Here is a 13096-nt window from a genome sequence, read left to right as displayed (position 1 = left end):
ATTTTATTTTATTATTATTTAACTGGAGGAACTATTGGGTATGTATTATGTTTTGTAAGAGAATAGTGTATTTTCTCAAAGTTTGAAAAGGAAGGAAAACTATACTTTATGCAGAAGCATAAAGTATAATGAACCTTCTCCAATGACATCATAATATGTTAAACATTCTTCTTTTTCTCTTTGCTGGTTTTATGACTATGACTTTTGAATATCTATGAGCAAAAACATTATTTCCTGCCCTTAATGTTTTTCAAACAAAGCCACGCCTACTATTTGAGTTTTCCAAATACTTTGATTTTGTTTTGCCTTGAAACTTAGACTTTTTTTTCCTTTAGTTTCTTTTTCCCCTTAGAAATCTTGATTGGAAAAATCATATTTTTAGATGTGATTTTAAAACATTTATTTTAACCTTTCCAAGAATCTTTTTGAATTTAGTTTTTATTTATGTTAAGACTATATACAGCATAAAAAGAATATTACCTGCCTTTCCCTTTCCCAACATTTTGCCTCTCTAGGGACCTCTGTTTTCTATTCTTCTAGCTGGGCTTTTTTTTTTTTTTTTTTTTTTTTTTTTTTTGGTATTTAATGCCATATTTCTGAACAGTAGGCTTATGCTTACAAAAATCTGCGTAGGGGCCGGGCAGGGTGGCTCACGCCTGTAATCTCAGCACTTTGGGAGGCCGAGGTGGGTGGATCACGAGGTCAGGAGTTTGAAATCAGCCTGGCCAACATGGTGAAACCCCATCTCTACTAAAAATACAAAAAATTATCCAGGTGTGGTGGCAGGCGCCTGTAATCCCAGCTACTCGGGAGGCTGAGGCAGGAGAATTGGTGGAATCCGGAAGACAGAGGTTGCAATGAGCCAAGACCATACCACTGCACTCCAGCCTGGGCAACAGAGCGAGACTCCATCTCAAAATAAAAGAATAAAAAATAAATAAAATAAATAAAAATCTGTGTAGGTTCTTTTCTAGACCTGCCCAGCTTTTATCCTGGGATCTACTTCCCCTCGTATCCTGGGTATTTCCTTTGCCTTCTTACGGAGAACCCCCTGTTTTCCTTGACTTGATATCTTTCTCCTTTATTGTTTATATTTTAATTTGTGTGGAGCATGTCCCCCAGAAGCTCCTGAGAAAAAGGTGCATGAGATGTAAATTTGTTTGGGAATCTGCATATATGAAAATATCTTTATTTTCTTTTATACTTGATTTATAGTTTACCTGGGTATAGAATTCTAGATAAGAGAATATTTTCTCTGACTTTATCAGGCATCACTCTATTGGCTTCTAGCTTCTGTTGCTGCTGACGAGAAGTCTGATGATGTTCTGATTCTTGGTTATTTTTTTCCTCCCTGGAAATGTTCTGAAATTTTAATATAATTAGCCTCATTCTAGGCCTTGTTTTGTCTGTTATGCTGGACGCTTGGAGGGCCTTTTCAATTTGGTAACACTTTTCAGTTCTGGGAAATTTTCTTGAATTTTTAAATTCTAACCAATCTCTTCCTTTTCCTCCTTGCCCCCAGTTTTCTCTGTTCTTCCTCTCGAACTCTCAATACTTGTGTTGGAATTTCTAGACTGATGAGTCCTTTAATTTTCCTTTCCTATTTCCCATCTTTTTGTCTCTTTATTCTACTTTCTGGGGGGTGTCTTGAACTTCATCTTAAGACCTTTCTAATTAGTTTTATATTTATGCTGTCATATTTTTAATTTTTAAGTTTTTTTTTTCTGTGAATGTTGCTTTTTAATAGTCATCTATTTTTGTTTCAGATGGACTAGCTCTTCTCTGAACATGTTCTTTCCTCAGCTTTCTGTAAAATCTGTGTTTCCTTAAAATACATTACTTGTTCATTTCATTTATTTTGATCTTTCATTTAGGGAATTTCCTTAAAAGTATAGCTTTGGCTGTTTTACTCATATTCAGGAGTGAGCCACGAAAAAACTGAAAGCTGGATTTGCCCAAGTGTCAGCTTCTGAAAGTTAACTGGTGGTTTATTCTTGGAGAGGACACCTCTAGCAGTCAGTATTTGTGCTTTTCTCTTGACCAGGTTCATCCCCAGAAAGAATGTTCCTATTATCTGCTTAGGGCTTACAAACCTGGCTGTATCATTTGGGAAGCTGAGTGGGGAAAATGGCTAGGGATGTTTCACCTTTCACGATATCAACTTTCTCTTAATCACCATCTTTTTTAGACTGGTGGGCCTGCCCCTAGTTGTGCCTAGTCCAGAGTCTCTCTAGTAATCTTTCCAGAGAACAAACCTCCCATCCTCTGCCCAGCAGCTGCTTGGAGACAGGGCAGCAATCTAGGGGTAGAACTTTTACTCCATTCTCCTTTTTTTAGCTTTGTCTGCTATCCCCACTTTCAGAGGCACTTTGAGTTTTTCTGGTTTGTCTTAGCACAATTCAGTTTGATTTGGGCTTCCCCTTAATATAGAAAGACCCTCCGTCTCTACATAAAACTAGAAAAAAAAAAATTAACCAGGTGTGGTGGCATGCACCTGTGGTCCCAGCTACTTGGGAGGCTGAGGTGAAAAGATAGCTTGCACTCTGGAGTTTGAGGCTGCAGTGAGCCGTGATTGCGCCACTGCACTCCAGCCTGGGCGACAGAGGAAGACCCTGTTTCAAAAACAAACAAAACATAGAGGCAGAGTCTCGTTATGTTAGCCAGGCTGGTCTCAAACTGCTGGCCTCAAGCAGTCCTCCCACTCTGGCCTCTGAAAGTGCTGGGATTATAGGCATGAGCCACCATACCTCTCTGACCTATGTTTAAAGTTAGAAAGCATTTTTGTAGAATGAGTGCAGATTCATAGTTGAGTAACTTCTCAAACAAGGCTAACTTCCAACTAAGTTTTACCACAGGCAAAAAACCTACTTAAATAAATTTTATGTTCCTTGCCACCGATTTAGGGTTACTAGAATTGCAGCAATTCAAAGCAATTATCTTGGGCCTGTGTGTTGCTGCTTCCTTGCTTTGTGATCCTGGGTCATTTCCTAATGAAATTGGGCCCTCTGTGCTTCATGCTGTAAAATCCTGCTGATACCCACCTCATTGTGAGAATTAACTGAGCAAGTGTACATGAAAACACCTCACACAATATGGTATCTAGGAGGAAGTATAATAAATATTCATAAATGTTTTCTCATTAAAATTATTGCTTTGCTGACAAAATTGCTATATAGTATTTATAAGAAGTGCTTGATAATGACAGAATTAATGATTTTAATGTATGCTGGCAGACTGAACTTTACCAATTAATATTTATTATATGTGGGACATATAAGAAGCAGGATTAGATTTAAGCAGAGTGATGAAGTAGCAACTCTGGTATATGCTATATAGAAGGTGATTTTTGTGGCTGATGCTGCCGCTCTACAAACTAAATGGGATTTGGTATTGTTTTTATTTGCATTTATCTTGGATGACTGAGGAGAATGCAAGCACATTCCTTTGCTCTCAGGTCACATTTTTTGGTGAGAAGGAATTCCCAATCTGGCTAAGATCGTATGTCCTTTAGTTCTTATTAAGCTGTCAGTTAAAATTATAAAGACCCAGATACCCAACACATTTTAGGATTCTTGAATTCTACCTGAATGATGAAGCTCTTTTATCCCAGCCTGCCCCAGAACACCTGGGATGTTTGAATATCAGTGTTTCTTTTTGCTAGAATAATGACATAAAGTCTTTGCTTTCTTTGGTAGCAAAGAAAGAATACCTAACATATATACAGCTCTTGCCAGTTTATAATGCACTTACACACATTTTCTTATTTGATCTTTGCAGCTCTTTTGGAAGAAAGTAGAGCTGATGTTACATCCTTTACAAATGAGCATCCCAGCTACTTGGGAGGCTGAGGTGGGAGGGTCGCTTGAGCCCTGGAGCCTGGAGTTCAAGGCCAGCCTGGGCAACATAGTGAGACTCTGTCTCTAAAAAAAGAATTTTATAAATGTTAGGCAGCATATTGCCTAGGAAGTAAAATTTAAGATAAATGTAAAAAATGGGGTCCTCAGCCCAGCGTGGTGGTGGCCCACGCCTATAATCCCAGCACTTTTGTAGGCCAAGGTGGGCAGATCACTTGAGGCCAGGAGTTCAAGACCAGCTTGGACAACATGGTGAAACCCTGTTTCTACTAAAAATACAAAAATTACCTGGATGTGGTGGTGCAAACCTGTAATCCCAGTTACTTGGGAGGCTGAGGCATGAGAATTGCTTACCTGGGAGGCAGAGGTTGCAGTGAGCTAAGATCATGCCACTACCCTCTAGCCTGGGCAACAGAGCGAGACTGTCTCAAAAAAAAAAAAAAAAATGGGATCCCATATGAGTGATTCATTAGACCAGCAGTATATATTAATATGTCCTTTGTACCATGTACTATGCTGTGTCAACAGGACACAATAATGGATGATAAATAACCCTTTCTCCCAGTCTAGCTCACAGTCTAGATTGCCATTCCATGTATACTGTAAATACAGCTTTGTGGACTGCATTTCTGTTTAATGGTGAGGAAGCATTTTAATAAATAACTTCTAAGAAGTCAATTAATGTGGCAAATGAACAGCATTTTTACCACCTAGATTATTCTGAATCGTAGTCAAAATGTGTAAATGCAATCCTGCTACCCTTTGTATTTCACAATAATTCAAACATCTCTGTTTTGCAGTTTTCTGTGCAGAGGCCTTGAATTTAAACTTAAACCATTATTGAGAGTCATAAATGGACAAAACCCATGGCAAACTAATACTTTTGAATGTTAGTAAAGTCAGCAGACCTTGAGCCTTTTGTTCATGCTTTCTATGTGGTGCACTGAAATGTGAAATGTTATATGTTTCTTATTTACTCTGGGCGATATGTACAAAATTTTAGAATTTTAAATTTGAGTGGGACTGGAGATAACATAATTAATCAGTGGCAGAGTGTGGACTGAAACCCAGGCTTCCTGATACCTAGTTTATTTAGTTCTCTTCCCGCTATCCTATGCTGGGCTTCCTAATTTAGCAGCCAAGGGAGATTTAATTGTAATTGCTGATTGTGGTCTCCTTAAAACTTTAAAGTTTTCTTTATTTAGCTGTAAATGCATGTAAATTTTTTCTTTATTTAGTTGTGTGAATTTCCTCTGCCTTGTATCTTCCAAGGCATTTGGGCTGTTTTAACTTCGATTACGGCAGGTTGCGGTGGCTCACGCCTGTAATCTCAACACTTTGGGAGGCCGAGGCTGGCGGATCACGAGGTCAGGAGTTTGAGACCATCCTGGCCAACATGGTGAAACCCCCTCTTTACCAAAAATACAAAAATTAATCAGGTGTGGTGGCACGCACCTGTAGTCCCAGCTACTTGGAAGGCTGAGGCAGAATCACTTGAACCCAGGAGGCGCAGGTTGCAGTGAGCCGAGATTGTGCCACTGCACTCTAGCCTGGGCAACAGAGCGAAGCTCTGTCTTAATTTAAAAAAAAAAAAGTTCAATTAGATGGCTGATCATTTATGATTTAAAAAGTCATTTATGACATTGACTTAAAAATATGTCATTCTTATAGACTTTGTACCAAAATGCAGAGAAAGTATCTAACTCAGGTTTTGAGCCATTGATTCATTGGCAGTGACAATGAAGATATGTTTCCACTCCAAAACAGGATTAGATGCAGCTTCCTAGATTATTATGACTGCCTTGCCTGCTTTCACAGCTATCTTGAGGCACTGAGGGGATGTGCGTGGAAACACTTTGAAAAAACATAAAGTGACATAACAATATGTTTTGCTTTCATTCATGAATCTTCTAATTGTATATTTGGGACTTTTTGTCGTAAGACATTTTGCTATGTGAGCTTATAGATTGAAATAGATTTAGGGCTGAGCATGGTGGCTCACACCTGTAATCCCAGCACTTTGGGAGGCCGAGGCAGGTGGATCACAAGGTCAGGAGTTCGAGACCAGCCTGACCAACATGGTGAAACCCCATCTCTACTAAAAATACAAAAATTAGCCGGGTGTGGTGGTGCGTGCCTGTAATCCCAGCTACTCAGGAGGCTGAGGCAGGAGAATCACTTGAACCCGGGAGGCGGAGGTTGCAGTGAGCCAAGATGGCACCACTGCACTCCAGCCTGGGCGACAGGCTGTCTGAGACTCTGTCTCAAAAATTAAAAAAAAATGAAATGGATTTGGATAGGCCAAAAATGTGACTGGGTCAAGGAAAACACTTAAGTCCATCAAGGCCTTGCTGATAGTAAAATAATGGAGTGGATGGGTAGTGGAAAATAAGGATAGTGTGCTAGTGCCTTAGAATGTAAAGGGAAATAATAGGCAGACTAGAAAGTTTTGTCTGTGTTGCCTATCCAGCCTCTCCATTCTTTGGTCAGTATTTATTGAAGCACCTACTAAGGACAAGGTACTTTTTCAGACATAAAAGATATTATTTACTATCACAATAAGTAAGACAAAGATGCTATTTCTCTCCTCCAGGAGCTTACAGGGCAAGACACTTACAGATGAGATACAGCATAAGTTAATAAATGTTTATAGTTTGGAATGTGCCACCTTATTGAGCTTGCTGAAAAAGATATAATCTTGGTTAAGTTATTTACTGACTTAAATGTATTAATATTCTCTTGGTCCACTTTTTAAACTTTAAAACATATAAAATATACATTAAAATATTTTGAGATATAAAATATATTTTAAAATATGTAACTAAATCTTAAAATATATATAGATAGTATATTTATATGTATTTTTAAGATAACAGATCTATTCTACTTTGTAAGTCATCTGAACATTCCCTACCTTACTACATTAATATTAGGGAGCTATCAAAGAATGGGCATTGCTGCTGTGACATCACCCAGAAGTTAGTTTTTGGTGTTTGTCTTTCTTTCTCTCTCTCTCTTTCTTTCTTTCTCTCTCTCTCTCTTTCTTTTTTTAGACAAGGTGTCACTCTGTCACTCAGGCTGGAGTGCAGTGGTGCAATCACGCACAGCTCACTGCAGCCTTGACCTCATGGCCTCAAGTGATCTTCCTGTCTTAGCTTCCCAAGTAGCTGGGACTACAGATTTGTGCCAAAACACACAGCAAATTATTTTTTGTAGAGGTAGGGTCTCCCTGTGTTGCCTAGGCTGGTCTCAAACTCCTGGGCTCAAGTAATCCTCCTGTCTTGGCCTCCCAAAGTGCTGGGATTACAGACGTAAGCTACTGCTCCCAGCCTGGTATATTTCCGAAGAGCAGAAACCTGGGTTTGAATCCTTGCCTTGCCACTTAACTAGCTGTGGAACTTAGGTGTGCCACAGTTTCCTCATCTGTCAAATTGGAATAAAAAATATCTACCTCACAGCTGTTGTGAGGATTGAATTTGTTAATATATGTAACAGCATTTAACTGCATTTCTGGCACACATTAAACACTGTTATCAGTGTTGCTGGCTATCATCATAATCAATCACCATCATCATCATCATTGTTATTGTTTGGCAGAATAAGAGTAAATTGGGTAAGGTTTCAAGAATGGATTTTCTCCTTTTCAAGCCCTGAAAATTGCTCTAAACTAAAGGTAGATAAAGGAAGGAAATTAAACCTTTGTTGATCATCAGCTATGTGCCAGGCAGTGCACTGGTGTTTTACTTGCGTTCTCATTTAATCCCTACACCAGTGCTGTGAAGTAGATTAGAAAACAGGCTCGGAGAAGTTAAGGAAGGTCTTGTAATAAATGGACACCATGATGTTGACTGGTCTCTGTTACTCCACATCATGTGCTCTTCTTGCATGAGCCAGACAGCCCCTGAGAGTTCAGCATGTTTCAGTAACAGGTAAGCTTGGAATATGGCCTCCTGACTTTGGGAACTGCCTTTCTAATGACCATTTAAAGGGACGTCTTCCACATTTTTAGTTAGTTCCTACTGTAGTGATTTGTTTTATATATCTGTAATTTCACTTCCCACCCATTTAAAAGTATATTGCAGTAGTGTAAATGATATAAGTGGGACCTGGATAGAAAATATTTGAATGTATAGAATCTTATTAATAGTTTTCAGCATTGAGCTGATTTATTATAATTTCCCAGTTTTCAAGATCACCATCGTAATTATTGAAGTTGTTACCCTTCACATTTATTAATATAACTTTCCTAGGGCTTTAAGCCTAAACTCCATATGGTTACATACGTGTCCTAGGTGCTGCTTAGTGTAGGACTGATTATTACAGTCAGCTTTTGGGGAGCATCCCAAATTAATTAGAATAACTTGGATTTAAATGTAATTAAGTTAACTTTAAATTTTTTGGTGTTCTTATGTTGAAAGTAGGGTCATTTGGGGGACATTTTGTGGATGTGAAACCCCTGTCCATAAAGTGTCAGCTTAGCTTTTCATGGATACGGTTGCCTCAGATCCCCGAACCTAGAACTAGAAGTTGTAAGCTCTCCCTAAAAATATTTGTGTTTTTGCTAGGTTTCATGATCTTGTAACCTCTTCTGCCTCCTGGGACCTACTTTCTGGCCTCGTGCCACTGATTTGCACCATAGTGCACCCACATGTGAAACTTGGCTCCCTCTGATTTTCAGAAAGGCCCTATTCACACAGGGCATTTGCAGATTTTGTGTACCTACCTGAAGAAAGGGGCAAAATAGAGGTGGAGTGAGCCTTTGCATTAATGCAAACAACTTCCCTACTAAAACATTCCTGTTCTGAAAGTGTTTTCTGACCTCCCTTGACCCAAGAGCTTCACCCCCACCTAATCCCAGCTCTGCTCCATTATACTAACTCTTTTCTTCTTTTTCTTTCCCTCTCCTCCTCATTCTTCTCCCCATTCCTTTCAGCGATATAAAACCAAATTCTTCCCTGTCTAATGCAGAGCAATTTCCCTTTCTTGACAACCGTTCTAGGATCTTGACAGCCAGCCATTCTGCAGCAAACCACCTACTCCAAGGGGACTGGACATGAGTGATGGGAGCCCATATTATGGGAACATATTTTCTTTTTTTTTTTTTTTGAGGTGGAGTCTCTCTCTGTCGCCCAGGCTGAAGTGCAGTGGCGCGATCTTGGCTCACTGCAAGCTCCGTCTCCCGGGTTCACGCCATTCTCCTGCCTCAGCCTCCTGAGTAGCTGGGACTACAGGCGCCTGCCACCACACCCTGCTATTTTTTTTTTTTTTTGTATTTTTAGTAGAGATGGGGTTTCACCATGTTAGCCTGGATTGTCTCGATCTCCTGACCTCATGATCCGCCCGTCTCGGCCTCCCAAAGTGCTGGGATTACAGATGTGAGCCACCGTGCCTGGCCGGGAACATATTTTCTTCTTTCTTTCTTTTTATATATATATATGTACTCCAATTTAAAACTTTTAATTAAAAAGTAAACTTTAATGTCGAAAATGCAAACTTGGGGAGGACAGAAAGATAACACACAAGGCTGTCACTTCATACTTGGATGGTTGCACAGCAGTCGCGCAGAGGCACTCCTCACTTCCCAGACGGGGCGGCGGCCAGGCAGAGGGGCTCCTTACTTCCCAGATGGGGCGGCGGACGCCCGGCCGGGAACATATTTTCTTAAAGTTTCTTCGAAGAGGAACTCTGTGTTAGCTGTTAGGATGACACAATAGAGAATTTTCTTTCCTCTTACAGTGGTGGCCCAGCTTGCCGATCTCAAGCTTAATACTGAGTCCTACTTCCTGATAATGTGTCAGAAACCTTAAACATGCTTATACATATAATTTGTCAAAATCATAAACTCTAGATGTCTTTGGCTAATATATTGTCCTTGTGTACAGAATATATACCGCTTTTAAAGAAGCATGCCGCTTACATATAGGTCATAAACCCACTTAGCACAAAAGAGTCACCACCTCATGCCATCTTGTTATATATTTTGCTTACGCAAAAATAATTTTAGCTTTTGATATTCGAGTATTTTTGTTACCATGAATTTGTGTGTTTTTTCCTGAGTTTCAGATTGTATGCAAATATAATGTGTAATTTTTAAGACCTAAAACAAATGCAGAAGTGCTTTTTTTCAGGAAGTAAACCTTTAATACTTCCATTTGTAGATCAGTCTACCCATAAGTGACTGACTCTTTGGTTACTCTTAGCTGAAAAGAAAGATCACAGTTTTTTTTTTACTCTTACATCAGTTTTAAGGACTTGTAGGGAGTTTAATGCATTGTAATTTACTGGTCCTTTTTTGAATTTGTATTACAATTAATGAAATTGCTTTTTTCTTGCCATGTATTAGCCCAATCTTACAGATTGTTTCCCACTTGTAGGTAATAGAGAAGAGGAAACCTAACCAATGACTGTGGAATAATATGGAAGAAGATGGAAAAAACTTGTTTAATGGGTAAGAAATAAAAACTGTAATAAAACATTATTAATGAAAGCTATTTATAATAATAGTATTATGTGTGGCTGAGGTTGGCATACTATGAGGGTAATTGATCAGTTACTGTTTTGTCTAACTCCATTCTGAACTTTCACCGCTTGCTTTCATCTTAACCTTGTGAATTTTTTAGTACCACGAATTAACTTAAGCTAAGAGGGGACACAGCCATATTTGAAGTTAAAATGGGACCTAAAGACCAGCAACCATACTGAAACAAGTCTAGGGTAGGTCTTGAAACTTGGTGGTAAGATAGAGATCGTATCTGTCATGACCTGTCAAGAGTAATTATCTACCCCTTCTTTTTCTCCAAATATGTCAGTTGCTATGATGTTTGTCCCACCACGAGGATCCCGTTCATTTGAGCAAGTGCAGATGTGTGTCTGGTGGTAATCAAATAGAATTCTGCTTTGGGAGGTTGAGGTGGGAGGATGGCTTGAGGCCCGGAATTCTTTTATTTATTTATTTAGTTTTGAGATGGAGTCTTGCTCTGTTGCCCAGGCTGGAGTGCAGTGGTGTGATCGTGGCTCACTGCAACCTCTGCCTCCCGGGTGCAAGCAATTCTCTTGCCTCAGCCTCCCAACTAGCTGGAACTACAGGCACCCGCCACGACACCTGGCTAATTTTTGTATTTTTGTAGAAACGGGGTTTCATTATGTTGGCCAGGCTGGTCTCAAACTCCTGACCTCAAGTGATCTGCCCACCTTGTGCTGGGATATGCCTCCCAAAGTGCTGGGATTACAGGCGTGAGCCACTGTGCCTGGCTGAGACCAGGAATTCTAGCCAGCCTGGGCAATATAGCAAGACCTCATCTCTACCAAAAAAAAAAAAAAAAATTAGCCAGGTGTGGTGGCTAGCTACTCGGGAGGCTAAGGTGACAGGATTGCTTGAGCCCAGGAGATTGAGGCTGTAGTGAGCTATAATCATTCCACTGCACTCCAGCCTGGGCAACAGAGCAAGACCTTCTTAAAAAATAGAATTCTACAGAAAGCTCAGTAAAAGGTTTGACTTTAAGTTTATGAGATATAAAAGTTTTTTTAATTATGCAAGTTTATACATTCATGTCAATAATTTAAAAATAACAGATAACTACAATCCTCTACCTGAATCTTACCCTCCTCCCAGAGTCTATAAGTATATGGCATGTATTTGTGCAACCTTCTTTGCCTAGTGGTTAAAAACATGGATTTGGAGCCAGACCGTTTTTAACCAGTCACTATTAACTTGACATTTGGACATGTTATCTCTGTGCCTCAATTCCTTGGATATAAGGTGAGGACAATAAAATGCTATCTCTTAGCAATTGATTAGTTAATCCATATAAAAAACTTGAAATAATGTCTGGAATGAAGTAAGTGTTTAGTAAATGTTAACTATAATTCTCATATGTATCCCAGTTAGCCTTTTTATGTGCCAGCCATCCACACATAAATTTTTCTCTGATACATTCCAAGAGTTAAACCATCTCAGATACGGTTAACCATGGTGGCAAAAGCTTTTTAGTTTTTTTCATGAGAAGTTTTCTTTTGACTTCATCTCTGAGTATGCTGCTAGACTATGTGTGAGGATAAAGTTCTATATCTTTACCTTTTACTGTATATCTTAGGGTGTATATGATGTTTATAGTTATATATGAATAAACAACTATCTTCAGCCTAACATAGGTTCATCTTGCCTGTAAAAGTATCTTGTAAAGCAGGCTACACAATTCTTTTGTTTCTAGATAGCTATGTCAAATGCTGTGTTGTGTTTCTGTCAATCTATTTTGAAGGACATGCCTTCTTGAGTTTTTTTTCTTTTCTATTTTTTTTTTTTTTGAGATAATCTTCCTCTGTTGCCCAGATTGGTGTGCAGTGGTGCAGTCTTGGTTCACTGCAACTTCCACCTCCCAGGTTTAAGCAATTCTCATGCCTCAACCTCCCGACTAGCTGGGATTACAGGCGTGTGCCACCATGCTCAGCTAATTTTTGTATTTTTAGTAGAGATGGGATCTCGCTATGTTGTCCAGCCTCTCTTGAACTCCTGGCCTCAAGTGATCCACCCACCTCAGCCTCCCAAAGTGTTGGAATTACAGGCATGAGCCACTGCACCCAGCTTGAAGTATTTTTTTTTCCTTTTTGCACACAGGATCATAGTAATTATTTTATTTTTTATTTAAAGAGACAGAGTCATGCCGTGCTACCCAGCTGGCCTTTAACTCCTAGACTCAAGTGATCCACCTGTCTGAGCCTCCTGAGTAGCTGGGACTATAGGTACCACTGTACCTGGGCTAGAGTCATAGCAGTTTTGAAGATTATCTCTGATACTGTTTGTATGGCTTGTCAGCACTTTCTTAGGTGGTGTAGACAATTAACTATTTTAAGAAGGAAGAGCACTTAGAAACAGTAATCTATTTTTATTGTTTCCTGTTATCTCGGTGTTAAAATTAAAAAAAAAAAAAAAAAGACTAAGAACAGAAACAGGCCAGATGTGGTGGCTTACGCCTGTAATCCCAGCACTTTGGGAGGCTAAGGCAGGTGGATCACCTGAGGTCAGGAGTTCAAGACCAGCCTGATCAATATGGTGAAACCCCATCTCTACTAAAAATACAAAAATTAGCCGGACATGGTGGCGCATGCCTGTAATCCCAGCTACTCGGGAGGCTGAAACAGGAGAATTGCTTGAAACCGGGAGGCAGAGGTTGCAGTGAGCTGAGATCACGCCACTGTACTCCAGCCTGGGCGACAGAGCAAGAGTCTGTCTGAAAACAACAACA

The 13096-nt window shown here is 39.6% G+C and overlaps 1 protein-coding gene across 3 annotated transcripts in view; it reads left to right on the top strand.

Annotated features, from left to right (window-relative positions):
- The window catches only part of USP49 (ubiquitin specific peptidase 49), a 105480-nt gene that overhangs the window by 13510 nt on the left and 78874 nt on the right, over nucleotides 1-13096 (top strand). For all 3 annotated transcript variants that reach the window (NM_001286554.2, NM_001384542.1, NM_018561.5), the window contains exon 3: nucleotides 10229-10302. The gene's annotated coding sequence lies outside the window, so the exon portion shown is untranslated. The remainder of the gene's footprint in view (nucleotides 1-10228; nucleotides 10303-13096) is intronic.

The sequence above is a fragment of the Homo sapiens genome, chromosome 6 (genome assembly GCF_000001405.40).
Source record: "Homo sapiens chromosome 6, GRCh38.p14 Primary Assembly".
In the NCBI taxonomy this organism is placed as follows: Eukaryota; Metazoa; Chordata; class Mammalia; order Primates; family Hominidae; genus Homo; species Homo sapiens.
Note: the sequence above shows the minus strand (reverse complement) of the source record. Positions and strands in the feature narration are given on the sequence as shown.